Source organism: Homo sapiens, chromosome 10 (genome assembly GCF_000001405.40).
Source record: "Homo sapiens chromosome 10, GRCh38.p14 Primary Assembly".
Lineage (NCBI taxonomy): Eukaryota > Metazoa > Chordata > Mammalia > Primates > Hominidae > Homo > Homo sapiens.
In genome coordinates, this window is record NC_000010.11 from 43,459,870 (window position 1) to 43,486,610 (window position 26,741).

The 26,741-nt window shown below is 45.3% G+C and overlaps 1 protein-coding gene across 16 annotated transcripts in view, besides 1 other annotated feature; it reads left to right on the forward strand.

Annotated features, from left to right (window-relative positions):
• The window catches only part of ZNF487 (zinc finger protein 487), an 87,047-nt gene that overhangs the window by 23,022 nt on the left and 37,284 nt on the right, over positions 1-26,741 (forward strand). For 6 of the 16 annotated variants that reach the window (NM_001355445.3, XM_047425631.1, NM_001355448.2 and 3 more), the window contains 3 exons: positions 15,852-15,978; positions 16,238-16,333; positions 21,560-23,312. In NM_001355445.3, coding sequence (NP_001342374.2) covers positions 15,945-15,978; positions 16,238-16,333; positions 21,560-22,053 — 624 coding nt within the window. In that variant the 5' untranslated portion in view covers positions 15,852-15,944 and the 3' untranslated portion in view covers positions 22,054-23,312. Of the gene's footprint in view, positions 1-718; positions 784-10,130; positions 10,265-15,826; positions 15,979-16,237; positions 16,334-21,559; positions 23,313-25,246; positions 25,303-26,741 lie in introns of those variants that run through there. The other 10 variants (XM_047425633.1, XM_047425632.1, XM_024448132.2 and 7 more) reach the window with 6 other exon arrangements.
• Positions 4,368-5,031: an enhancer, noted in NCBI's record as "NANOG-H3K27ac hESC enhancer chr10:43959685-43960348 (GRCh37/hg19 assembly coordinates)". NCBI's record gives its function as "activates a minimal SCP1, AML or CMV promoter by ChIP-STARR-seq in naive and primed H9 embryonic stem cells {active_cell/tissue: H9 hESC(naive and primed)}" and the evidence as "EXISTENCE:reporter gene assay evidence [ECO:0000049][PMID:30033119]".

The window sequence follows — 26,741 nt, forward strand, 5'->3', positions numbered from 1 at the left end:
CAGCTCACTGCAAGCTCTGTCTCCTGGGTTCACGCCATTCTCCTGCCTCAGCCTCCCGAGTAGCTGGGACTACAGGCGCCTGCCACCACGCCCAGCTAATTTTTTGTATTTTTAGTTAGAGACAGGGTTTCACCGTGTCAGCCAGGATGGTCTCGATCTCCTGACCTCATGATCTGCCCGCCTTGGCCTCCCAAAGTACTGGGATTATAGGCATGAGCCACCGTGCCCGGCCGTTGAATTATTATTATTTTTTTAGCTAATAGACCAGAAGAATGAATTTAATTATTATTGAGATGATTATATTGTTTTATTCTTTTTCAGTGGATTGATTGATATTAACCTATGGATTGAGTTAATTTTATTAATGTTTTGATTTTCAAATGTTAAATCAGCCTATTTTCCAGGAACAAAGTCATATTGTTGCTTTATCCTTTTAAAATATATTCCATGACAAATTGTTAGATATTTTTGTGTCTTTGTTCCTGAAAGAGTCTGTTGTTTTCTTTCTTTCTTTTTTTTTTTTTTTTTTTTGAGACCAAGTTGTCGCCCAGGCTGGAGTGCAGTGGCATGATCTCAGTTCATGGCAACCTCTGCCTCCCGGGTTCAAGCGATTCTCATACCTCAGCCTCCTGAGTAGCTGAGATTACAGGTGTCTGCCACCATGCCCAGCTAATTTTTTGTATTTTTAGTAGATATGGGGTTTCACCATCTTGACCAGGCTGGTCTTGAACTCCTGACCTCAGATGCCACCCGCCTCAGCCTCCCAAAGTGTTGAGACTACAGGTATGAGCCACCATGCCTGGCTGTTATTTTCCTTTCTTAAAAGTCTTTTTTTTTTTTTGAGAAAGAGTCTCACTCTAATGCCTAGTCTGGAGTGTAGTGGCCCTATCTCAGCTTACTGCAACCTTTGCCTCCCGAGTTCAAGCGATTCTTGTGCCTCTGCCTCCCAAGTATCTGGGATTACAGGCAGGCACCACCAGGACTGGCTAATTTTTGTATTTTTAGAGAGACAGGGTTTCACCATATTGGCCTGGCTGGTCTTGAACTCCTGGCCTCAAGTGATCTAACACCACCTTGGTCTCCCAAAGTGCTGGGATAACAGGCGTGAGCTATCACACCCGGCCTCTTCTAATATCTTAATTTTTTTTTTTTTTGAGACAGAGTTTCGCTCTCATCGCCCAGGCTGGAGTGCAATGGCGTGATCTCGGCTCACTGCAACCTCCACCTCCCCAGTTCAAGCGATTCCCCTGCCTTAGCCTCCTGAGTAGCTAGGATTATAGGCGTTAGCCACCACACCCGGCTAATTTTTGTATTTATAGTAGAGATGGGGTTTCATCATGTTTGTCAGGCTGGTCTCAAACTTCTGACCTCAGGTGATCTGCCTGCCTTGGCCTCCCAAAGTGTTGGGATTACAGGCGTGAGCCAACATGCCCGGCCCAGTCTTTTGTTTTTTTTTTTTTTTTTTGAGACAAGGTCTTGCTCTGTCACCCAGGCTGGAGCGCAGTGGTGTGATGATCATAACTCACCTCTCCCTTGAACTCCTGGGCTCAAGCAATCTTCTGATCTCAGCCTCCTGAGTAGCTGGGACTACAGGCATGTACCATAATGCCTGGTTACTTTTTTGTATTTTTTTTAGAGATGGTGTTTTGCTATGTTGCCCAGGCTGGTCTTGAACTCCTGGGCTCAAGTGATCCTCCTGTCTTGGCCTCCCAAAACATCGGGATTACAGGTATGAGCCACTGCCCCCGGCCTTTGTTAGGTTTATATCAATTTTATGCCTGTTTCAGAAAACATGTTTAGTGTTTTCTCTTTATTCTCCATGAGTGCTTGTGTAAGATTGGTGCTATTTATTCCTTAATTGCTTGTAAAATTACAGCAGTGAATTTTTCTAGGGTCTGGCTTTTCTTTATGAATAATTTTAAAATTATAGATTTAATTTCTTTATATTAGGGAAATTATCCTTTAGAACTTGATACAAGTCCTAGTTGTTTGTTTCTACCTTGTCATTTGTCATCCCCAGGTGGGTGGCAGGTGTGTTTGTTCCAGGGCAAAGCTATGTCTCACACACACTAGTTCACATAACCCCATTCAGACCAAAAATTGTTCACAGTTTACTTTGCTTTTTGTCTCTTTATCTCCAAGGTTGGTCTGTAGTGAACTCAAAGCCTTAATTCTATCCCAGTCCTTTTAGTTAAGGTCAGCAGTGACCTCTAGTGGTGAAATCTTCAGTCTTCCTCTTAACATGACTTTCTTTTTTAAAAATTATCTAGTGAATTACTCTTTCTGTTTGTTTGTTTTTGAGATGGAGTCTTGCTCTGTTGCCCAGGCTGGAGTGCAGTGGCACGACCCCAGATTACTGCAACCTCTGCCTCCCGAAGTGCTGGGATTGTAGGGTTGAACTACTATGCCTGAACCCTCTTACGTGGCTTTCTAGCCACGTAATCATTGATTACAGGCACACCTCGTTTTATTGTCCCTTGCTTTAATGTACTTTGCAGATATTGTGCTTTTTTTTCTTTTTTCTTTTTTCTTTTTTTAACAATTAAAAGTTTGTGGAAACCCGGCATTGAGCAAATCTGTAGACAACATTTTTTTTTTTTTTTTTGAGACAGAGTCTCCCTCTGTCACCAGGCTGGAGTGCAGTGGCGTGATCTCAGCTCACTGCAACCTTGGCCTCCTGGGTTCAAGCGACTCTTCTGCCTCAGCCTCCTGAGTAGCTGGGACTACAGGTGTGCACCACCATACCCAGCTAATTTTTGTATTTTTAGTAGAGGTGGGGTTTCACCATGTTGGCCAGGATGGTCACGATCTCTTGACCTCGTGATCCACCTGCCTCAGCTTCTTGAAGTGCTGGGATTACAGGCATGAGCCACTGCATCCGGCCTTTTTTTTTTCTTTCTTTTTTTTTTTATAAATAGAGATAGGGGTCTCATGTTGTCACCCAGGCTGGAGTGCAGTGGCATGATCTTAGCTCATTGTAACCTTGAACTCTTCGACTCAGGGGATCCTCCTGCCTCAGCCCCCTGAGTAGCTGGGACCACAGCCATGCCTGGCTATGCCTGGCTAATTAAAAAATTTTTTTTGGCCAGGTGCGGTGGCTCATGTCTGTAATCCCAGCACTTGGGGATGCCAAGGCGGGTGGATCAACTGAGGTCGGGAGTTTGAGACCAGCCTGACCAACATGGAGAAACCCTGTCTCTACTAAAAATACAAAATTAGCTGGGTGAGGTGGTACATGCCTGTAATCCCAGCTGCTCGGGAGGCTGTGGCAGGAGAATTGCTTGAACCCAGGAGGCAGAGGTTGCGGTGAGCCGAGTTCACGCCATTGCAATCCAGCCTGGGCAACAAGAGCAAAACTCCATCTCAAAAAAAAAAATTTTCTTTTTGGGCCAGGCGGATGGCTCATGCCTGTAATCCCAGCACTTTGGGAAGCCGAGGCAGGTGGATCACCTGAGGTCATTAGTTTGAGACCAGCCTGGCCAACATGGCGAAACCCTGTCTCTACTAAAAATATAAAAATTAGCCAGGCGTGGTGGTGCACACTTGTAGTCCCAGCTACTCGGGAGGCTGAGGCAGGAAAATTGCTTGAACCCGGGAGGCTAAGGTTGCAGTGAGCCGAGATCATGCCACTGCATTGCAGTCTGGGTTTCAGAGTGAAACACTGTCTCGAAAAAAAAAAAAAATTTTTTTTTTTTGGTGGAAACTTGGTCTCACTATGTTGCCCAGGTTGGTCTTGAACTCCTGGCATCAAGTGATCTTCCCATCCCACCTTGGTCCCCCAGAGCTCTGGGACTGTAGGCACGAGCCACCTCACCTAGCCTCACAACTGTTTTTCTTTCTTTCTTTTTTTTTTTTTTTTAGCATGTGCTCATGTTGTGTCTCTGGGTCACATTTTGGTAATTCTTGCCCTATTTCAGACTTTTTTTTATTATCTATTATGGCAATCTGTGATCTGTGATTTCTGTTATTATTATTGTAATTGTTTTGACCGTATATAAGATGGTTAAAATTAACAAATGTTGCCTGTGTTCTGACTGCTTCACTGACTGGCTGTTCCCCTTTCTCTCTCCCTTTCCTCTGGCCTCCCTATTCCTTGAGACACAACAATATTGAAATTAGGGTAGGTAACTACCCTGCAGTGGCCTCTCAGTGTTCCAGTGAGAGGAAGAGTCATACATCTCTCACTTTAAATCAGAAGCTAGAAATACTTAAGCTTAATGAGGAAGGCATATATCAAAAGCCAAGACAGGCCTAAATTAGGCCTCTTGTGCCGAACAGCCCAAATGTAAATGCAAAGGAAAACTTTTTTTTTCTTTTTTTTTTTTTTGTTTTGAGACAACGTCTCACTGTGTCACCCAGGCTGGAGTGCAGTGGCATGATCTTGGCTCACTGAAACCTCTGCCTCCTGGTTCAAGTGATTCTTCTGTCTCAGCCTCCTGGGTAGCTGGGATTACAGGTGTGTGCCACCATGCCCGGCTAATTGTTTGTATTTTTATTTTATTTATTATTATTATTTTTTTTTATTGATCATTCTTGGGTGTTTCTCGCAGAGGGGGATTTGGCAGGGTCATAGGACAATAGTGGAGGGAAGGTCAGCAGATAAACAAGTGAACAAAGGTCTCTGGTTTTCCTAGGCAGAGGACCCTGCGGCCTTCCGCAGTGTTTGTGTCCCTGGGTACTTGAGATTAGGGAGTGGTGATGACTCTTGATGAGCATGCTGCCTTCAAGCATCTGTTTAACAAAGCACATCTTGCACCGCCCTTAATCCATTTAACCCTGAGTTGACACAGCACATGTTTCAGAGAGCACAGGGTTGGGGGTAAGGTCATAGATCAACAGGATCCCAAGGCAGAATTCTTCTTAGTACAGAACAAAATGAAAAGTCTGCCATGTCTACTTCTTTCTACACAGACACAGCAACCATCCAATTTCTCAATCTTTTCCCCACCTTTCCCCCTTTTCTATTCCACAAAACCGCCATCGTCATCATGGCCCGTTCTTAATGAGCTGTTGGGTACACCTCCCAGACGGGGTGGTGGCCGGGCAGAGGGGCTCCTCACTTCCCAGTAGGGGCGGCCGGGCAGAGGCGCCCCTCACCTCCCGGATGGGGCGGCTGGCTGGGCGGGGGCTGACCCCCCCACCTCCCTCCCGGACGGGGCGGCTGGCCGGGCGGGGGGCTGACCCCCCCCACCTCCCTCCCGGGGCGGCTGGCCGGGCGGGGGGCTGACCCCCCCACCTCCCTCCCGGATGGGGCGGCTGGCCGGGCGGGGGGCTGACCCGCCCACCTCCCTCCCGGAAGGGGCGGCTGGCCGGGCGGGGGGCTGACCCCCCCACCTCCCTCCTGGACGGGGCGGCTGGCTGGGTGGGGGGCTGATCCCCTCACCTCCCTCCCGGACGGGGCGGCTGGCCTGGCGGGGGCTGATCCCCACCTCCCTCCCGGACCGGGTGGCTGCCGGGCGGAGACGCTCCTCACTTCCCAGACGGGGTGGCTGCCGGGCGGAGGGGCTCCTCACTTCTCAGACGGGGCGGCTGCCGGGCGGAGGGGCTCCTCACTTCTCAGATGGGGCAGCTGCCGGGCAGAGGGTCTCCTCGCTTCTCAGACGGGGCGGCCGGGCAGAGACGCTCCTCACCTCCCAGACGGGGTCGTGGCCGGGCAGAGGCGCTCCTCACATCCCTGACGGGGCGGCGGGGCAGAGGTGCTCCCCACAACTCAGATGATGGGCGGCCGGGCAGAGACGCTCCTCACTTCCTAGATGGGATGGCAGCCGGGAAGAGGCGCTCCTCACTTCCTAGATGGGATGGCGGGCGGGCAGAGACGCTCCTCACTTTCCAGACTGGGCAGCCAGGCAGAGGGGCTCCTCACATCCCAGACGATGGGCGGCCAGGCAGAGACGCTCCTCACTTCCCAGATGGGGTGGCCGCCGAGCAGAGGCTGCAATCTCGGCACTTTGGGAGGCCAAGGCAGGCGGCTGGGATGTGGAGGTTGTAGCGAGCCGAGATCACGCCACTGCACTCCAGCCTGGGCACCATTGAGCACTGAGTGAACGAGACTCTGTCTGCAATCCCGGCACCTCGGGAGGCCGAGGCTGGGGGATCACTCGCAGTTAGGAGCTGGAGACCAGCCCGGCCAACCCAGCGAAACCCCGTCTCCACCAAAAAAATACGAAAACCAGTCAGGCGTGGCGGTGCGCGCCTGCAATCACAGGCACTCGGCAGGCTGAAGCAGGAGAATCAGGCAGGGAGGTTGCAGTGAGCCGAGATGGCAGCAGTACAGTCCAGCTTCGGCTCGGCATCAGAGGGAGACCGTGGAAAGAGAGGGAGAGGGAGAGGGAGCTGGAGCTTGTTTGTATTTTTAGTAGAGACAGGGTTTCACCATGTTGGCCAGGCTGGTCTCCAACTCCTGATCTCAGGTGATCTACCCGTCTCAGCCTCCCAAAGTACTAGGATTACAGGCATGAGCCACTGTGCCTGGCTGGCATATTTGTTTATAGCATGGTTTACTGAATTTTTGTTTTCTTTTCTTTTTTTCTTTCTTTCTTTTTTTTTTTTTTGAGATGGAGTCTTGCTTTGTCACCCAGGCTGGAGTACAGTGGTGTGATCTCAGCTCACTGCAACCTCCGCCTCCTGGGTTCAATTGATTCTCCTGCCTCAGCCTCCTGAGTAGCTGGGATTACAGGTGCGCACCACCACACCCAGCTAATTTTTGTATTATTAGTAGAGACGGGGTTTCACCATGTTTGTCAGGCTGGTCTCCAACTCCTGACCTTGTGATCCACCCGCCTCGGCATCCCATAGTGCTGGGATTACAGGCGTGAGCCACCATGCCCAGCTGGTTTACTGATTATTTTAAACAAATTATTGAGTCCTAATGTTCAGAAAAAATATTTCTTTCAAAATGTTACTGCTCATTGACAAGCTAGTCACATAAGAGCTATGAGGTATGAAATTAATGTTGTTTTCATGCTTACTAGCATGCATCCATTCTACAGCCCATGGATCAAGGAGTAATTTTTTTTTTGAGACAGTTTAGCTCTTGTTGTCCAGGCTGGATTGCAATGGCGTGATCTTGGCTCACTGCAACCTCCACCTCCTAGGTTTGGCGATTCTCCTGCCGCAGCCTCCTCAGTAGCTGAGATTACAGGTGCCTGCTGCCACACCCAGCTAATTGTTTTGTATTTTTTTTTTAGTAGAGATGGGGTTTCATCATGTTGACCAGGCTGGTCTTGAACTCTTGTCCTCAAGTGATCTGCCTGCCTCAGCCTCCCATAGTGCTAGGATTATAAGCATGAGCCGCCGCACCCGGCCAAGGAGTAATTTTGACTTTCAAGTTTTATTTTTTATTTTTCTTTTTTTGAGACGGAGTCTTGCTGTGTCGCCCAGGCTGGAGTGCAGTGGCACAATCTTGGCTCACTGCAACCTCTGCCTCGCGGGTTCAAGTGATTCTTCTGCCTCAGCCTCCCGACTAGCTGGGACTACAGGTGCACGCCACCACGCCTGGCTAATTTTTGTATTTTTAGTAGAGACAGGGTTTCACCATATTGGCCAGGCTGGTCTCAAACTCCTGACCTCGTGATCTGCCTGCCTCGGCCTTCCAAAGTGCTGTTATTGCAGGTGTGAGCCACTGCGCCCGACCTTCAACTTTTATTGTTTAAGAAATAAATTTGTAGCCAGGCGTTGTGACTCATGCCTGTAATCCCAGCACTTTGGGAGGCCGAGGCTGGTGGATCACCTCAGGTCAGGAGTTTGATACCAGCCTGGCAAACATGGTGAAACCTTGTCTCTACTAAAAATACAAAAATTAGCTGGGTGTGGTGGTGCATACCTGTAATCCCAGCTACTCGGGAGGCTGGGGCAAGAGAATCGCTTGAACCTGGGAGGCAGAGGTTGCAGTGAGCCGAGATTGTGCCACTGCACTCCAGCGTGGGCAACAGAATGAGACTCTATCTCAGAAAAAAAAAAAAAAGAAAAGAAAAATTTGTAAGGCTATAGCTGGCATGGATAGTGATCCCTCTGATGGATCTGGGCAAAGTAAATTGAAAACCTTCTGGAATGGATTCACTGCTCAAGATGCCACTAAGACCATTTACGATTCATGGGAATAGGTCCAATTAACAACATTAATAGGAATTTGGAAGAACTTGAATCCAACCCTTATGGATGACTTTGAGGGGTTCAAGTCTTCAGTGGAGGAAGTCACTGCAGATGTGGAAATAGCATAACTAGAATTAGAAGTGGAGCCTGCAGATGTGAGTGAATTGCTGCAATCTTATGTTAGAACTTGAACAGATGAGGAGTTGCTTCTTATGCGTGAGATAAGAAAATTGTTTCTTGTGATGTAATCTATTCCTGGTGAAGATGCTGTGAACATTGTTAAGATGACAACAAAGGATTTAGACTTACATAAACTTAGTTAATAAGGCAGCAGCAGGGTTTTAGAGGATTGAATCCAATTTTGAAAGAAGTTCTACTATAGGTAAAATTAAACAGCATCTCATGCTACAGAGAAATCTTTCGTGAAAGGAAGAGCCGGCCGGGTGCAGTGGCTCATTCCTGTAACCCCAGCACTTTTGGAGGCTGAGGCAGGTGGATCACCTGAGGTCGGGAGTTTGAGACCAGCCTGACCAACATGGAGAAACCCCGTCTCTACTAAAAATACAAAATTAGCCGGCCATGGTGGCACATGCCTGTGATGCCAACTACTCGGGAGGTTGAGGCAGGATAATTGCTTGAACCTGGGAGGCAGAGGTTGTGGCGAGCTGCGATCGCGCCATTGCACTCCAGCCTGGGCACCAAGAGTGAAACTCTGTCTCAAAAAAAAAAAAAAAAAAAAAAAAAGGCCGGGCGCAGTGGCTCACGCCTGTAATCCCAGCACCACTTTGGGAGGCCGAGGCAGGCGGATCACGAGGTCAGGAGATCGAGACCATCTTGGCTAACGCGGTGAAACCCCGTCTCTACTAAAAATACAAAAAATTAGCTGGGTGTAGTGGTGGGCGCCTGTAGTCCCAGCTACTCGGGAGGCTGAGGCAGGAGAATGGTGTGAACCCAGGAGGCAGCGCTTGCAGTGAGCCAAGATTGTGCCACTGCATTCCAGCCTGGGCTACAGAGTGAGACTCTATCTCAAAAAAAAAAAAAAAAAAAAAAAAAAGAAAAAGAAAGGAAGAGTCAATCAGTGTGGCAGACTTAATTGTCCTTTTATTTTAAGAAATTGCACAGCCATCCCAGCCTTCAGCAAACCACCACTAGCAGTCATCAACATTGAGGCAAGACCATCTACCAGCAAAAAGATTATGATTCACTATAGGCTCAGATGATTGTTAGCATTTCTTTTATTTTACTTTATTTTTTGAGACATAGTCTGGCTCTTTCACCCAGGCTGGAGTGCAGTGGTGCGACCTTGGCTCACTGTGACCTCTGCCTCCCGGGTTCAAGCGATTCTCCTGCCTCAGCCTCCTGAGCACCTGGGACTACAGGCGTGCACCACACCCGGCTAATTTTTGTATTTTTATAGAGACGGGCTTTCAGCATGTCGACCAGGCTGGTCTCGAACCCCTGACCTCAGGTGATCCACCAGCCTTGGCCTCCTAAAGTGCTGGGATTACAGGCGTGAGCCACCGCGCCTGGCCATCATTTATTTATTTATTTTTTTAAATAAATAAGAGACAGGGTCCCTTATGTTGCCCAGGCTGATCTTGGGCTCCTTGGTTCAAATGATCCTCCCACTTCAACCTTCCAAAGTGCTGGGATTACAGGCATGAACCAATGTACTTGGCCTGCATTTTTAGGCCATGAAGTATTTTAAAATTAGGATATGTCTGTACACGGTGGCTCATGCACTTTGGGAGGCCAAAGTGGGTGGATCACTTGAGGCCAAGGGTTTGAGACCAGCCCGGCCAACATGGTGAAACCCTGTCTCTACCAAAAAATAGAAAAATTAGGTGGGCGTGGTGGTGTACTCCTGTAATCCTAGGTACTCAGGAGACTGAGGCATGAGAATTTCTTGAACCCAGGAGGCAGAGGTTGCAGTGAGCTGAGATCACACCACTGCTCTCCAACCTGGGCAACAGAGCGAGACTCTGTCTTCCAAAAAAAAAAAAATTAGGATATGTACATTGGTTTACTAGACATAATGCTATTGCACACTTAATAGACTATAGTATAGTGAAAACATAACTTTCACATGCATGGGAAACCAACATACTCGCATGACTCAAGTGACATTTGCTTTATTGCAGTGGTCCGGAACTGAATGCACATTATCTTTGAGGTATGCCTGTGTTTTTCCCTTCTGGTTGACTTTCTTCACTTGGCTTACAGGACACCACACTCTTTTAACTTTCCCTTTTAATTTTTTTTTGGTTGCGGGAACAGTGTTTTACTCTGTTGCCCAGGCTGGAGTGCAGTGGTGCCATCACGGCTCACTTTAGCCTTGAGCTCCCTGGGCTTCGGTGATACTCCCACCTTAGCCTCCTGAGTAGCTGGGACTACAGGTGCATGCCACTATGCCCAGCTAATTTTTCTATTTATTTATTTAGAGACAGAGTTTCACTTTTGTTGCCCAGGCTGGAGTGCAATGGCGTGATCTCACCTCACCGCAACCTCCACCTCCCAGGTTCAAGCGATTCTCCTGCCTCAGCCTCCCAAGTACCTGGGATTACAGGCATGCGTCACCACACCTGGCTAATTTTTTTGTATTTTTAGTAGAGATGGGGTTCTCCATGTTGGTCAGGCTGGTCTTGAACTCCCGACCTCAGGTGATCCACCTGCCTCGGCCTTCCAAAGTGCTGGGATTACAGGCGTGAGCCAGCACACCCGGGCAATTTTTCTATTTATTGTAGAGATGGGATTTGCCATGTTGCCCAGGCTGGTGTGGAAGTCCTGGGCTCAAGCAATTTTCCTACCTTGACCTCCCAAAGTGTTGGGATTACAGGTGAGAGCCACTGCACTTTGCCTTAACTTTTTCCTTTTTTTTTTGAACAGAGTCTCACTGTCACACAGCCTAGAGTACAGTGGCACGATCATAGCTCACTGCAGCCTCGACATCCTGGGCTCAGGTGTTCAAGTGATCCTCCCACCTCAGCCTCTTGAGTAGTTGGGACTACAGGCATGCACCACCACACTAATTTTTGTATTTTTTTGTAGAGACGGGGTTTCACCATGTTGCCGACCTTAACTTTTAACTTTCCTTCTCTCATCGTTTGCTGGTTCCTCCTTTTCTTCCTGTCTCTGAATGTTTATGTGTAGTCCTTGGTCATTGTGATGCAGGATTTTTCTTGGCCCCTTTGTTGGACTCGTGACAGGGCTGTCCCATTTACTCGGCCCATTGCGCTCAACCCCTTGCAGGATGGAGCACGTGAGTGAGTGCGGGATCTGGCTGGCTGCTCCGGGCACTGGCAGGAGCAAGCTCCGTGTCCAGAATGGCCAGCCAGATCCCACACTTGCTCGCACACTTGGATGGCGGTGCCAAGGCGAGGGTGCCCACTACCCCAAAACCCTAGAGGGAGTGTTACGGTGCTCTGTTAGTTTTGCTGTCTGCAGACAGCTGTGTGTTTGCAGCTCAGTTGGCCCCTTGTCTCGTTGCATGGGGTGGCTGCCCTCCTCTGGTGAGGACAAAGGGCCAGCGTGACAGTCTTTCTAGGTACCCGCACTCAGTGGATCCTGAGCTTTTGTCTGGTGTCCAAGAAGAATGTCACATGGGCAAACTGAAGGATGGTGAAGTCAGAGAATTTTATTGAGCAATGAAAATGGCTCTCAGCAGAGAGGGGAACTGGAAAGGGGACGGGAAGGGCAGGTTGCCTTCCCTGAGGTCAGGTTGCCCCTTCCCTGAAGTCAAGCCATCTCTCTGAAGTCAAATTGTCTCTCTCTGAAGTCAAACTGTCTCCCCCTCTACTGACTGAGTCTGGGGTCTTTCTTTATAGCACTCAGAATGGACAGTGTGTGCTCATTGGTTTGTGAGTATGCAAAAAATGTTAAAGTGAAGACACCACTCAATGGTGGGCATAACAGTGTAGAAAACCAATTAGGAAAGGGTAGCTATATATAAAATAGGTGAAGAGTGGGGATTAGAGGAAAGCATGCCAAAGAGGAAGATAAGTCCTCAGTCTGGTCCAAGGATTTAACTTGTATCTTGGCTTTCAGGCTTTAAACTGTCTTTGGCTTGGAGGTTTCACTGGGGACCTGCCCCTATTTACCTTGGCATTTGGCTGCCTCCATTTGTTATCACTTGTACTTTGTCTGGCTGAGGCCTCTCCCTTGGCAATGTTTTGTCAGCAGTACTCTCTGGGGCCTGATCCCTCCTGGTAATCTCTCCAGCTCAGATTTCCTTCTTACACTTTGGATGCATATGTTAACTGTCCACTCTGCATCTCTGCTTGAGTATTTTATAGACCCAAGCTCAACATGATTAAAACTGGCCTCTTGGATTTTCTCTCCCAAACCCACAACCTCTGGAGCATTCCTTCCCCTTCTTGTTTGATAGCAGACCCCTTGGAATTATTTTTGAACTGTTTTTTTCTTGTCTTACACATCTTATTTGTCAGAAAAACCTCTGGGGCATACATCCAGAATATATCCACAGAGTCTGACCTCTTGCAATCCTCTCTATGACATCTTTTGCCTGGATTACAGCAACCGTTGCAGAGCAGTCTTGCTGCTGCTCAGACCTTGGCCTCTGGCATAGCATTTAGAGTACCTGTGTAGGAAGAGTCAGGTTGCTAAGCGCCAATCCTCTGCCCAACATCTACATTTTTCACTGAGTAAAAGCCAAAGTTCCACCAGTGGGTTATGTGATCCATTACATCTGTGACTTCACTTCCTTCTCAGCCTCTTGATCACTATGCTCCAGCTCGACTTGCCTTCTTGCTGGATGTACCAGGCATAACACCACCTTTGTCTTTGTACCAAATGTGCCCTTTTCCTGGAGTATGTTTCCTAGGGAGCCTTCCAACTTATTCTGTTATAATTTATAAAGGATTTATAATTTATAAGCATTTATAATTATGTCAACCATATTTAATAAGTTGATCATTGGCTGGGTGGGTGCAGTGGCTCATGCCTGTAATCCAAGCACTTTGGGAGGCTGAGGCGGGAGGATCACTTGAGCCTGGGAGGTAGAGGTTGCAGTGAGCCATGTTTGTGCCACTGCACTCCAGTCTGTGTGACAAAGCGAGACTCTGTCTCAAAAAAAAAAAAAAAAAGGTTGATCATCCTTTGTATATGGTGACTTTACCATATATTAGGACACTTTTTTTTTTTTTTGAGATAGAGTTTCCCTCTTGTGCCCCCAGACTGGAGTGCAGTGGCATGATCTCGGCTCACTGCAACCTCTGCCTCCCGGGTTCAAGCAATTCTTCTGCCTCAGCCTCCCGAGTAGCCATGCCTGTCTAATTTTTTTGTATTATTAGTAGATATGGGGTTTCACCATGTTGGCCAGGGAACTCCTGACCTCAGGTGATCTGCCCATTTCGGCCTCCCAAAGTGCTGAGACTAGAGGTGTGAGCCACCGCGCCTGGCGTAGGACACTATTTAACTCTGTTTTGGGACTTTTTCTTTTCACTGGGGTATTTTTCTTTTTATTAGAGGAGTTCATAATAAACAGTAATATCTAGCAAGATAAGCCCATTTATAATTTTTGTTTTTGACATACCTTTTTTCCCTTTTTTCTTTTTTTTGAGATGGAGTCTTGCTTTGTTGCCCAGGCTGGAGTGCAGTGGCGCGATCTCAGCTCACTGCAAGCTCCGCCTCCCGGGTTCACGCCATTCTCCTGCCTCAGCCTCCTGAGTAGCTGGGATTACAGGCCCCCTTTTTTTTTTCCCCAGACCCAAACATCAACTTACCTTCGCCACCTTTTATAAAAGCAACTTAAGTACAACAGCCAGGCTGGGCAAGGTGGCTTATGCCTGTAATCACAACACTTTGGGAGGCTTGAGGTGGGAGGATCACTTGAGCCCAGGAGTTTGAGACCAACCTGGGTAACATAGTGAGACCCCATTTCTCCAAAAATTTAAAAATCTGCCCGATGCAGTGACTTATTCCTGTAATTGCAGTATTTTGGGAGGCTGAGGCAAGCAGATTGCTAGAGCCCAGGAGTTAGAGACTAACCTGGGCAACATGGTGAAACCTTGTCTCTGTGAAAAGGCAAAAAAATTAACTGGGGATGGTGGTATGCATCTGTAGTCCTAGCTACTCAGGAGGCTGAGGTAAGAAGATTGCTTGAGCCCAGGAGGTCAAAGCTGCAGTGAGCTGTGTTTGTGCCACTGCATTCCAGCCTGGGTGACAGAACAAGACCGTGTTTCAAAAAAAAAAAAGCAGGGGCTGGGTGCGGTGTGGCTCAAGCCTGTAATCCTAGCACTTTGGGAGGCTGAGGTGGGCCGAGGTCAGGAGTTTGAGATGAGCCTGACCAACATGATGAAACCCTGTCTCTACTAAAAATACAAAAATGAGCCAGGCGTGGTGGTGCGCCCCTGTAACCCCAGCTACTCAGGAGGCTGAAGCAGGAGAATTGCTTGAACCTGGGAGGTGGAGGTTGCGGTGAGCTGAGATCGTGCCATTGCACTACAGCCTGGGTGACATGCCTGGAGCCCCATGTACTTGGGAGGCTGAGGCAGGAGTATTGCTTGAACCCAGGAATTTGAGGCTGTAGTGTGCAATGATCATGCCTGTGAATGTACTCCAGCATGGGCAAAACAGCAAGACCTGGCCTCTAAAAGGAAAAATGATTTATTATTTATTTTTTGAGACAGAGTCTAGCTCTGTCACCCAGGCTGGAGTGAAGTGGCGTGATCTTGGCTCACTGCAACCTCCACCTCCCAGGTTCAAGTGATTCTCCTGTCTCAGCCTCCCCAGTAGCCGGAATTACAGGTGCGCACCACCAAGCTTGACTAATTTTTGTATTTTTAATAGAGACAGGGTTTCACCACATTGGCCAGGCTGGTCTTGAACTTCTGACCTCAAGTGATCTGCCTGCCTTGGCCACCCAAAGTGCTGGGATTATAGGCATGAGCCACCACACTCAGCCTAGGTTTTTTTTTTAATCAATTTTTTAAAAAATATCAATTCTACTAAAAGACTGCCACCTCACAGATTGAATACCAGGCCACCACACAGTATCTTAAGAGGCCAGGCTCCTCCCCCCTGTACAAGGCGCAAACTTCCCCTGCCTCCACCTCATTCTCCCAGTGTGCAGGTGGGTCCCCAGTCTGTTGCAGGCATGTGCAGACAAGACCCTGGGCAGATTCCCTTATCTGCAGAAAAGCATCTGATGTAAACACTTGTGGGGTTGGTTGGAGATTCTCCGGGGACCCTCCCTTATCTGCCTCCTGCGTCTATCACTAGCAGGACCTCGTATAATTTTTGTATGAATTAAGAAAGTAGGCCGGGCCTAGTGGTTCACATCTGTAATCCCAGCACTTTGGGAGGCCAGGGCAGGAGGATCGCTTGAGCCTGGAGTTCAAGACCAGCCTGGGCAACATGGTGAGACCTTGTCTCTACAAATAAACAATTAGCTGGGTGTGGTGGTGCGTGCCTGTTGTCCCAGCTACTTGGGAGGCTGAGGTGGCAGAATCGCTTGTGCCCCAGTGGTCAAGGTTGCAGTGAGTTGTGATCATGCCACAGCACTCTAGCCTGAGTGATAGCGCAAGACCCCGTCTGAAAAAAAAAAAAAATTAATATACCGGCAGAGTCCTCATACCAGGATTTCTCATTTTCCTACAATGTATAATATCAATAGTAGGCATCCTATGTAGCATTTTCTCTTCAACTATCAACAGTGAACATGACAAGGTGTTAGATCTCACACATGTTGTATGCTCTCCACTTCTGATCACTGTAGAATGAAAACAAATGTACTGTTCTAGGGATCAGTGTCCTTCAGTGATGTGGCTGTGGGCTTCACCCAGGAGGAGTGGCAGCATCTGGACTCTGCTCAGAGGACCCCGTACAGAGACATGATGCTGGAGAACTACAGCCTCCTCCTCTCAGTGGGTAAGGATTATGTAATTTGCAGCTTCAAATAACATTTATTTCCTTTTTAGCTGCTGATTACAGATGGTTTCTTTGTATGAATATGAGTTAAAGGCTTGAGACTCAGGAGTTGAAGCTTGATTGATCCCTTCTGGGCACTGTAAAGAATATCTGTGGTGTTTTCTGTAATGAAATGCTCAAGTGGACCTATTTTTGTGCAGGCACACCTTTGTCCTCCGCAGGCTATCTGGCCCACGTCCTGTGTCATTTTCATTCACAGGATATTGCATTACCAAACCAGAGGTGGTTTGCAAGTTGGAGCATGGACAGGTGCTGTGGATATTAGAGGAAGAGTCCCCAAGTCAGAGCCACCTAGGTGAGTTAATAAATATATAGGAAGCTATAATCCCAGGGAGAAATTTGATCCTAGGGAGATACTTCACATATTGACATCTTTGAAATTTTTCAGAGATATGTTTTTAGAGTTACCAGAACTTTGGAAGTGACTAAGAAGAGTTGGCCTGCTTGCCTCAGATGTATATGTTATTACACACTAGCAGATAACAGCTAAATGGTCTTTGTTTTTTTCCAAAACTTAATCCTTGCCTCTCTCAGTTTAGTCAAATGAATGTCATTTGACTCTTCCTTCTATATCAATTTCAGTTATCTTCTTTTCATCATATATTATGTATTTATTCAATATGTATTAATTTGGCAGCTACGATGTTGGCATTTCCATCTGTGTTAGAGATATAGCTCTAACACCATGGCTGTGTTATGTTGGTAGAAGAGAATGAGATGTAGTGTGTGCTTTATGCAAGGGCCTTTTTGAAGTCAGTAGTTTAATAAACACAGATTTGAATTGTGTGTCAGTGGAATATTCTGGCCAGATGGTATACCCTGTGCTGTGAACCTTAGGCCACAGTGTCACGTGTGCAGGACAGCAGTGAGCCAGGCTGCGTGGAAGTCAAGGGGTGATGGGGAGCATGTGAGAGATGCTGTCAGAGAGACTGCTCGCTGAGGTGCCGATATATTCGGAAGTTGTAGCCAAAACAGAATTTGCTGCTAAATTGGATTATGGGTATAAGAAAAAGATAATAAGCATGATCTCAAAGGTTTTATGCTGAGGCACTGGCTGTGTGATGATACCATTAACTGGATGGGAGAAAATGGGGAGAAACAGTTTTGGGAAGAAATAAGAGATAGACACATAAATTTAAACAAATATTCTTTGTATAAAATAGTAATGATGCCCAGTTGGATATAAAACAATAAAAATAAAATACTGAAAAATGACCCAACATGTGAATCAGTTACCAGTTGATCTGAATTGTGTTCTAAAATCCTTTCTTTTTTTTTTCTTTTTCTTTCTTTATTTCTTTTTTTTTTTGAGACAGTCTCTCTCAGTCTCACAGGCTAGAGTGCAGTGGTGCAATCTTGGCTCAATGCAACCTCTGCCTCCCAGCTCAGAGATTCTCATACCTCAGCCTCCCTAGTAGTTGGGACCATAGGTGTGTATCACCACGCCTGACTAATTTTTGTATTTTTAGTAGAGATGGGGTTTTGCCATGTTGGCCAAGCTGGTCTCAAACTCCTGGCCTCAAGTGATCTGCCCCCCTTGGCCTCCCAAAGTGCTGGGATTACAGGTGTGAGCCACTGCGCCTGGCTTCTAAATTCCTTTCATTGTTAAGACGAAATAATGTTGCATTAAATATAAATGGTAACATGTAATGAGTAAATGCTAAAAGAAAGTAATACTTGTAACTTCTAAACTTTTAAAAAGAAGAAAATGGAAAAGAAAAAAATTAAATGTGTTGGATTAGACTGAAAAAAAAAAAAATGAGGTCGGGCTTGGTGGCTCAGGCCTGTAATCCCAGCACTTTGGGAGGCCGAGGCGGGTTGGTCACCTGAGGTCAGGAGTTCGAGACCAGCCTGACCAATATGGTGAAACGCCGTCTCTACTAAAAGTACAAAAATTAGCCGGGTGTGGTGGCGGATGCCTGTAATCCCAGCTATTCAGGAAGCTGAGGCAGGAGAAGCTTGAACTGGGGCAGCAGACGTTGGAGTGAGCAGAGATCGCACTATTGTACTTCAGCCTGGGTGACAAGAGCGAGACTCCATCTCGAAAAGAAAAAAAAAAAATGAAAAAGTGGGGAAAGGCAGGTAAAAATTAGAAAAACTGGAAACTCTTAAGTGAAAAAGAGAAAACCAATCCAGATATTTTAGAAATCATAATACAGTTAAAGGGGCTAAACCATCTTATTAAAAGATGGATATTGTCAAATTGGATTTTCAAAAACCAAGTTATATAGGCTCAGTGCAGTGGCTCACTGCTGTAATCCCAGCACTTCGGGAGACCAACCCAAGAGGATTGCTTGAGGTCAAGAGTTTGAGACCAGCCCAGGCAGCACAATGAGGACCCATCTGTACAAAAAATAAAAAATTAGGCCAGGCGCGGTGGCTCATGCCTAGAATCCCAGCACTTTGGAAGGCCAAGGCGTGTGGATCACCTGAGGTTGAGAGTTCGAGACCAGCCTGACCAACATGGAAAAACCCCTTCTCTACTAAAAATACAAAATTAGCCGGGCGTGGTGGCACATGCCTGTAATCCCGCTACTCGGGAGGCTGAGGCAGGAGAATCACTTGAACCCAGGAGGGGGAGGTTGTGGTAAGCTGAGATTGCGCCATTGCACTCCAGCTTGGGCAACGAGAGCGAAACTCTGTCTCAAAAATAAATAAAAAAAAAATTAGCCAGGCATGGTCATACACCAGTAGTCTCAGTTTTGGGAGGCTGAAGTGGGAGGATCGCTTGAGCCCAGGAGTTTGAAGCTGCAGTGAGCTATGATCATGCCACTGCATTCCAGTCTGGATGACAGAGTAAGAGCCTGTCTGTAAAAACAAAACAAAAATCAAGCTATATGGAGTTTGAGAATCATATATGAAATGTGAACATGAAACCTTAGAATATAAAAGGAATATAAATGATATATGGTCCAAATAATAAACAAAATAGAATGTTACCTCTCAGTGGACCCAAATTTAGCTTTTGAGTTTATTTTTGATGCAGTTCTTTTTTCTTTTTTCTTTTTTTTTTTAATGAGATGGAGTCTCGCTTTGTCTTCCAGGCTGGAGTGCAGTAGCCGATCTCTTTTGATCCTATCTCAAAAAAATTTTTTTTCTAACTTAGATAAACAAAGAGAAAATTTATATATATATATATTTGTGTGTGTGTGTGAATATATGTATGTATGTATGTGTGTATATATATATACACACATATATACACATATATATGTGTGTATATATATATATAAATTTGTACTGATGAGGTCTTGCTGTGTTGCTCAGACTGGTCTTGAACTCCTGACCTTAAGCAATTCTTCCACCTCTGCCTCCCAGAGTGCTGGTTTAGAGGCTTGATCCACTGTACCTGGCCTACTTTTATTTTTTAATTGAATGAAACTCATTCTGTTTTTGCTGTTATCATTTGAGTGAATTGGTCCCATTTATAATCTAAGAAGCATGATACTATTTTAGTGATCTATTTTTCTTAAGTTTGAAACATTTTGGTATGTTATTTCTTAGCAATTATTTCAACATTACTCATCAATTATGTCCAACTGTGGTAAAATAAACTAAAATAGAAAAGAATGATGGAATTGCTTGTAAGGATAATAGAATAGTAAAGAACACTGTCACTATTACATCATCCTTCAATTTTCTTATTGAGCTGCTTGAAGCATTACTTGTGACAAAAATATAAAAGAAGCCTGGAGAAACCTTATTTGTAGTTTCTTTCTTTTTTTTGTTGTTTTTATTTTATTTATTCATTTCATTTTGAGATGGAGTCTCACTCTGTTGCCCAGGCTGGACTGGAGTGGTGTGATCTCATCTCACTGCAACCTCCGCCTCTCGGGTTCAAGTGACTCTACTGCCTCAGCCACCCGAGTAGCTGGGACTACAGGCACCCACCACTGTGTCCTGGCTATTTTTTATTTTTTTGTATTGTTACTAGAGACGGGGTTTGCCGTGTTGGCAAGGCTGGTTTCAAACTCCTGACCTCAGGTGATCCTCCTGCCTCGGCCTCCCAAAGTGCTGGGATTACAGGTGTGAACCACTGCACCTGACTCTCTTTCTTTCTTTCTTTTCTTTCTTTCCTTCTTTCTTTCTTTCTTTCTTTCTTTCTTTCTTTCTTTCTTTCTTTCTTTCTTTCTTTCTTTTTCTTTCTTTCTTCCTTGCTTCCTTCCTTCCTTCCTTCTTTCTTTTCTTTTCTTTTCTTTTCTTTCTTTTCTTTTTTTTGAGATGGAGTCTTGCTCTCTTGCCCAGGCTGGAGTGCAGTGGCACAATCTAGGCTCACTGCAAGCTCCACCTCCCAGGTTCAAGCCATTCTCCTGCTGCAGCCTCCTGAGTAGCTGGGATTACAGGTGCGCACCACCACACCCAGCTCATTTTTGTATTTTGAGTAGAGACAGGGTTTCACCATGTTGGCCAGGCTGGTCTCGAGCTCCTGACCTCGTGATCCACCCCCATCAGCCTCCCAAAGTGCTGGGATTACAAGCGTGAGCCACCGCACCTGGCCACTTTTTATTATTATTTTTTTATTTTTTGAAATGGAGTCTTACTCTGTCACCCAGGCTGGAATGCAGTGGCATGATCTCGGCTCACTGCAACCTCTGCCTCACGGGTTCAAGCGATTCTCCTGCCTCAGCCTCCCGAGTAGCTGGGATTACAGATGCACACCACCACACCTGGCTAATTTTTGTATTTTTAGTAGAGATGGGGTTTTGCCATGTTGGCCAGGCTGGTCTGGAACGCTTGACTTCAGGTGATCCACCTTCCTTGGCCTTCCAAAGTGCTGGGATTACAGGCGTGAGCCACTGCGCCCACCTCTCTCTCTCTCTCTTTTTTTTTTTTAATAATTCAATGGGCACAGTTGAGAGTTCAGAGCTTTTATTTTCTTCCATTAATTGCAAAGAGTAGAAAATTGACAAGAGGAAGACTCTTCACAATTATTAGGCAAATCAGAAGATGAAGCAGAACCACTGTAGACTCTAATAATTACAGTATAATTGATCGCATAAGTGAAATCTCAGACTATGAGTTAGATGATGATATTCTAGATGAATAAAGGTATGCATATGATCCTGTTATAAGAACAGCCTGGGCCGGGTGCAGTGTCTCATGCCTGTAATCTCAGCACTTTGGGAGCCGAGGCAGGTGGATTTCTTGAGCCCAGGAGGTCAAGGCTGCAGTGAGCTGTGATGCTGCCACTGCATTACAGCCTGGGCAACAGGAGTTTGACACCAGCCTGAGTAACAAGGCAAAAAACTCCATCTCTACAAAAAATACAAAAAATTAGCCAGGCATGGTGGTACATACTTGTAATCCCATTTACTCGAGAAGCTGAGGTGGGAGCATCACCTGAGCCTGGGAGGTTGAGGCTGCAGTGAGCCATGATCACACCACTGCACAATCCAGCCTGGGTGACAGAGCCAGACACTGTGCCAAAAAAAAAAAGAAAAAAAAAGCATGTGAATATGTCTCTTTTTCATGAAAAATATGTTAACATTTATAATCTGTGATAACTTATTATTATTTCTAGACTGCTGCATAGATGATGACCTGATGGAGAAGAGACAGGAAAATCAAGACCAGCATTTGCAGAAAGTTGATTTTGTCAACAATAAAACACTGACTATGGACAGAAATGGTGTATTAGGAAAAACATTTTCTCTTGACACAAACCCCATTCTATCAAGAAAAATACGTGGCAACTGTGACTCATCTGGAATGAATTTGAATAATATTTCAGAATTAATTATTAGTAATAGAAGCTCCTTTGTAAGGAACCCTGCTGAGTGTAATGTACGTGGGAAATTTCTCCTCTGTATGAAGCGTGAGAATCCTTATGCCAGAGGGAAACCTTTGGAATATGATGGAAATGGGAAAGCCGTCTCTCAGAATGAGGACTTATTTAGGCATCAGTATATTCAAACTCTTAAGCAGTGTTTTGAATACAATCAGTGTGGGAAGGCTTTTCATGAAGAGGCAGCCTGCAGTACCCATAAGAGAGTGTGCTCATGGGAGACCCTGTGAATATAATGAACATGTGAGAGCCTTTTCCGATAGACCAATATTCATTGTTCATCAGAGAACTCACATAAGGAAGAGTCACCATGAATTCAATGAATGTGAGAGGAGGTCTGGTGAGAGGCCACCTGTAAATAAACACCACAGGGTTATGGAGATGAAATACTATGAGTGTAATGCGAGTGAGAATAGTTTTGGCAAGAAATCACTCCTCATTCTACAAAGTTACAGAGGAGAGAAAACTTGACTGTAGTAGACATTTGGAAGTATTCTGCAAGAAGCCAAATTTCACTCAACATCAAGAAACACATATAGGAAAGAATGCCTATAAAATTAATCAGTATGCTAGTACATTTTGCTGTAAGCCAAAGCATTCTGTATATCAGAAAACAGATACAGAAGAAAAACTCTATGAATGTAGTGAATGTGGGAAAACCTTCAGCCATAAATCCTCTTTTATCCTACAGCAGAGGATACACAGAGGAGAGAAACCCTATGAATGCACTGAATGTGGGAAAACTTTTGGATATAGGTCATGCCTTGCAGTACATCAAAGAACACACACGGGACAAAACCTATGAATGTAATGAATGTGGAAAAAACTTCTGTGAGAAGTCAAATCTTCATGTACATCAGAGAACACACACAGGAGAGAAACCCTATGGATGTAATGAATGTCAGAAAGCCTTTGGTGATAGGTCAGCTCTAAAAGTACATCAGAGAATACATACTGGCGAGAAACCCTATGAGTGTAAGGAATGTGGGAAAACTTTCTCCCAGAAGCCAAACTTCATTAATCATCAGTGAACTCACACAGGAGAGAGACCCTTTGAATGCAATGAATGTCAAAAATCCTTCTCTGTGAAGTCAAAACTTAGAGAACATCAGAGAATTCACACAGGGGAGAAACCCTATGAATGTAATGAATGTGAGAAAATGTTCTACCACAAGTCATCCCTCACAGTACATCAGAGAACCCACACAGGAGAGAAACCCTATGCATGTAGTGAATGTGGGAAAACCTTCTACCAGAAGTCATCCCTCACAACACATCAGAGAACACACACAAGGGAGCAACCCTATGAATATAATGAAAGCTTTTACCAGAATCCCAACTTCACTAAATGTCAGAGAGACAACATAGAGGAAACCCTTGTCAACATCCTGAAGGCTCAGAAACCTTCACCTTCTTGGACTCGTTCCATAGCAGAAACAACCCAGGTTGGGGTGAGAACACCCAATAAAGATGAGAAATCTTTTGCCTAGAAGTGATATTTCATTGAACAGCAAATAATTGATATTTTATCTTCTTTTCTTTTCTTTTCTTGTTGTTACTTTTTTGAGACAGAGTTTCGCTCTTATTGCCCAGGCTGGAGTGCAATGGCGTGATCTTGGCTCACCGCAACCTCTGTCTCCTGGATTCAAGCAATTCTCCTGCCTCAGCTTCCCAAGTAGCTGGGATTACAGGCATGCGCCACCATGCCCGGCTAATTTTGTATTTTTAGTAGAGACGGGGTTTCACCATGTTGGTCAGGCTGCTCTTGAACTCCCGACCTCAGGTGTCCACCCGCCTTGGCCTGCCAAAGTGTTGGGATTACAGCCACCATGCCCAGCCCTTCTTTTTTTTTTGAATCAGAATCTCACTCTGTTGCCCAGGCTGGAGTGCAGGTGCACAATCTCAGTTCACTGCAACCTCCTCCTCCCGGGTTCAAGTGATTCTTGTGCCTCAGCCTCCCAAGTAGCTGGGACTACAGGCATGTGTCACCATGCTCAGCTAATTTTTGTATTTTTTGTAAAGACAGATTTTCACTATGTTGGCCAGGGTGGTCTGGAACTCCTGACCTCAAGTGATCTGCCTGCCTTGGCCTCCCAAATTGCTGGGATTACAGGTGTGAACCACCATGCCTGACCAATAATTGATATTTTATTTTATTTTTATTTATTATCCTTTTTGAGATGGAGTCTCACTCTGTTGCCAAGGCTGGAGTGCAGTGGCATGATCTCGGCTCACTGCAACGTCCGCCTCCCTGCAACCTCCATCTCCTGGCTTCAAGTGATTCTTCTGCCTCAGCCTCCTGAGTAGCTGGGATTACAGGTGTGTGCCACCAGGCCCAGCTAATTTTTGTATTTTTAGTAGAGACAGGGTTTCGCCATGTTGGCGAGGCTGGTCTTGAACTCCTGACCTCAGGTGATCCACCTGCTTTGGCCCCCCAAAGTGCTGGGATTACAGGCATGAGCCACCACACCCGGCCTTTATTCTCACCTTAGAATCACAAGATGGTAGTGCAGGTAGAGTATACAGTATTTAACTATTTCTGCCTCATTTGAAAGATAAAATGTATGGAGCCTGAGAGAATCAATGAATTATTACAGGTCACTCCTTTGTTACTGATCAAGATAAGAATTTGGTCCAGGCGCGGTGGCTCACACCTGTAATCCCAGCACTCTGGGAGGCCAAGGCAGGTGGATCACCTGAGGTCAGGAGTTCGAGACCAGCCTGGCCAACATGGGGAAACCCTGTCTCTACTAAAATACAAAAAATTAGCTGGGCATGATGGTGGGCACCTATAATCTCAGCTACTCGAGAGGCTGAGGCAGGAGAACTGCTTGAACCTGGGAGGTGGAGGTTGCAGTGAGCCGAGATCATGCCACTGCATGCCAGCCTGGGCGACGGAGCAAGACTGTTTCAAAAAAAAAAAGTTTCGTGATTTCTTTATTCCTTTGCATAGCTGAAACAAGTCTTATCAAAAGATTGTGAAACTGTAATCAAATTAGAACAAATATTTAAAAAAATCTTGTACTGAAGCATTCATTCTATTTTTTAGAGTTTCTGTGAATTGTTCAACAATATTCCCAGTATTATATTCATAGGAAAACAGATAAACAGCACAACATGAGTGTTTCCTACCACATCAATTTTAATGAAGACACTTTCTATATTAGGATCCTGTCATTTATGAATTGTTTGTATTTTAAATTTTTTTGTGTCTTAGCGACATAAATTGTTAATCATTGGGATACATGTGTTTACTTTCACCCAGTGAAAAATTGCATGTCTAAGCTCAACACAATCTGGTCATAGAGATGTCTCCACATTGTTCAAATGGTCTCTTCTGTGTAGCATTTTAGGAAGTTGGATCCAGGAGCAGCAAGGCGGGCCAGATTTCTCCTAACTTTATTCTTACCTCCTCTTTCCCAGCATTACCTTTACTCTTCACATTTTTCCAAGATCAGTAGAAAATGAACAGATCCCAGGTGAGTTGTTTAGTTGTTATTATCAGCTTTATTTATAATGCAATGTATGAGGCTTTTAAGGCTCATTAGAATGGAAATATAGAAATCAACAGGAAAATAGACAATAGCAGACTGATAGCATGATTTAATACATAGGTAAGTACAAGTTTTATGGTCTTTCATAGTTATCAAAATTGAGCTGTAAATTTGAATCTTTTTGATAGCCATTGCACAATGCAGACATCTGTCACATGATTTACATTTCCATAAAGAAAAACCATATTGATTATGAATGGGGCATGAAGACTTCCTGGCAATGAGTCTAAAATTGTTCTCTTTTTGCACTCTGTATGGGCGATGAAGTGTACAACCTTCCAATAACTTAGAAATTCAACCTCTTTCAGTAGTTCTTCAGTGGGAACAAAGGACTCAAGAGCTATGAGAAAACTCAGTGAATATAGGTTTTCAGAGAATCAAAATATTGTAGTCTAGTGTGGTATGTAGATTAGTAGAGTAACCACTAGCCATATGTGGATATTGAAATATAATTAAAATATATTTCATAAGTCACATAGTAACATTTTAAGTGCTTAGTTGCCACATGTGGCTAGTGGCTACCAAATTGGACAGCACTGCTCTAGGCCATTTTCTGGTGTTGCTGCTTGATACAGGGATAAAATGTAGAGTATCTGGAGGAAGAAATCAAGTGCATCTTCAGACTATTTCAGTAAATCATTTTTTTTCCCCATTTAGGCTGTATTTATGGGGTAGTATAGACAGTTCGCAGTTACACTCTCTGGCATTTGTGCCTGTAATTCTATTTCACATTTCAGACCTTTCTTTTCTGAACAAACCAGAAGAGGTAAAGGAACTGAGAAAGTGTGATTAATGGTATAAATTGAAATGGATATGTTATGTTCCAACATTAATATAATAGTTGATAAACCAAGATTCAGAGCAAAACCAAAATACACACATTACAAAAAATATGAATGGCTGAATTTCTTATCCAAGACAGACTATTATACTGGTTTAAAAAACCAAAATGCAGCCATATTGTTTCTTAAAAACATGCTTTTAAGAAATCTAAAAGCCTGGGCAGGGTGGCTCACACCTGTAATCCCAGCACTTTGGGAGGCCGAGGAGGGTGCGGATCACCTGAGGTTGGGAGTTCGAGACCAGCCTGACCAACATGGAAAAACTTCGTCTCCACTAAAAATACAAAATTAGCCTGGCTTGGTGGTGCATGCTTGTAATCCCAGCTACTCGGGAGGCTGAGGCAGGAGAATCGCTTGAACCTGGGAGGCGGAGGTTGCGGTGAGCCGAGATTGCGCCATTGCACTACAGCCTGGGCAACAAGAGTGAAACTCCTTCTCAAAAAAAAAAAAAGTCTAAAAGAGATGAAGGAAGGAAAGCAAAGAAATGGGCAAAATATTTTTGGCAAAAGCAATTAAAAGGCA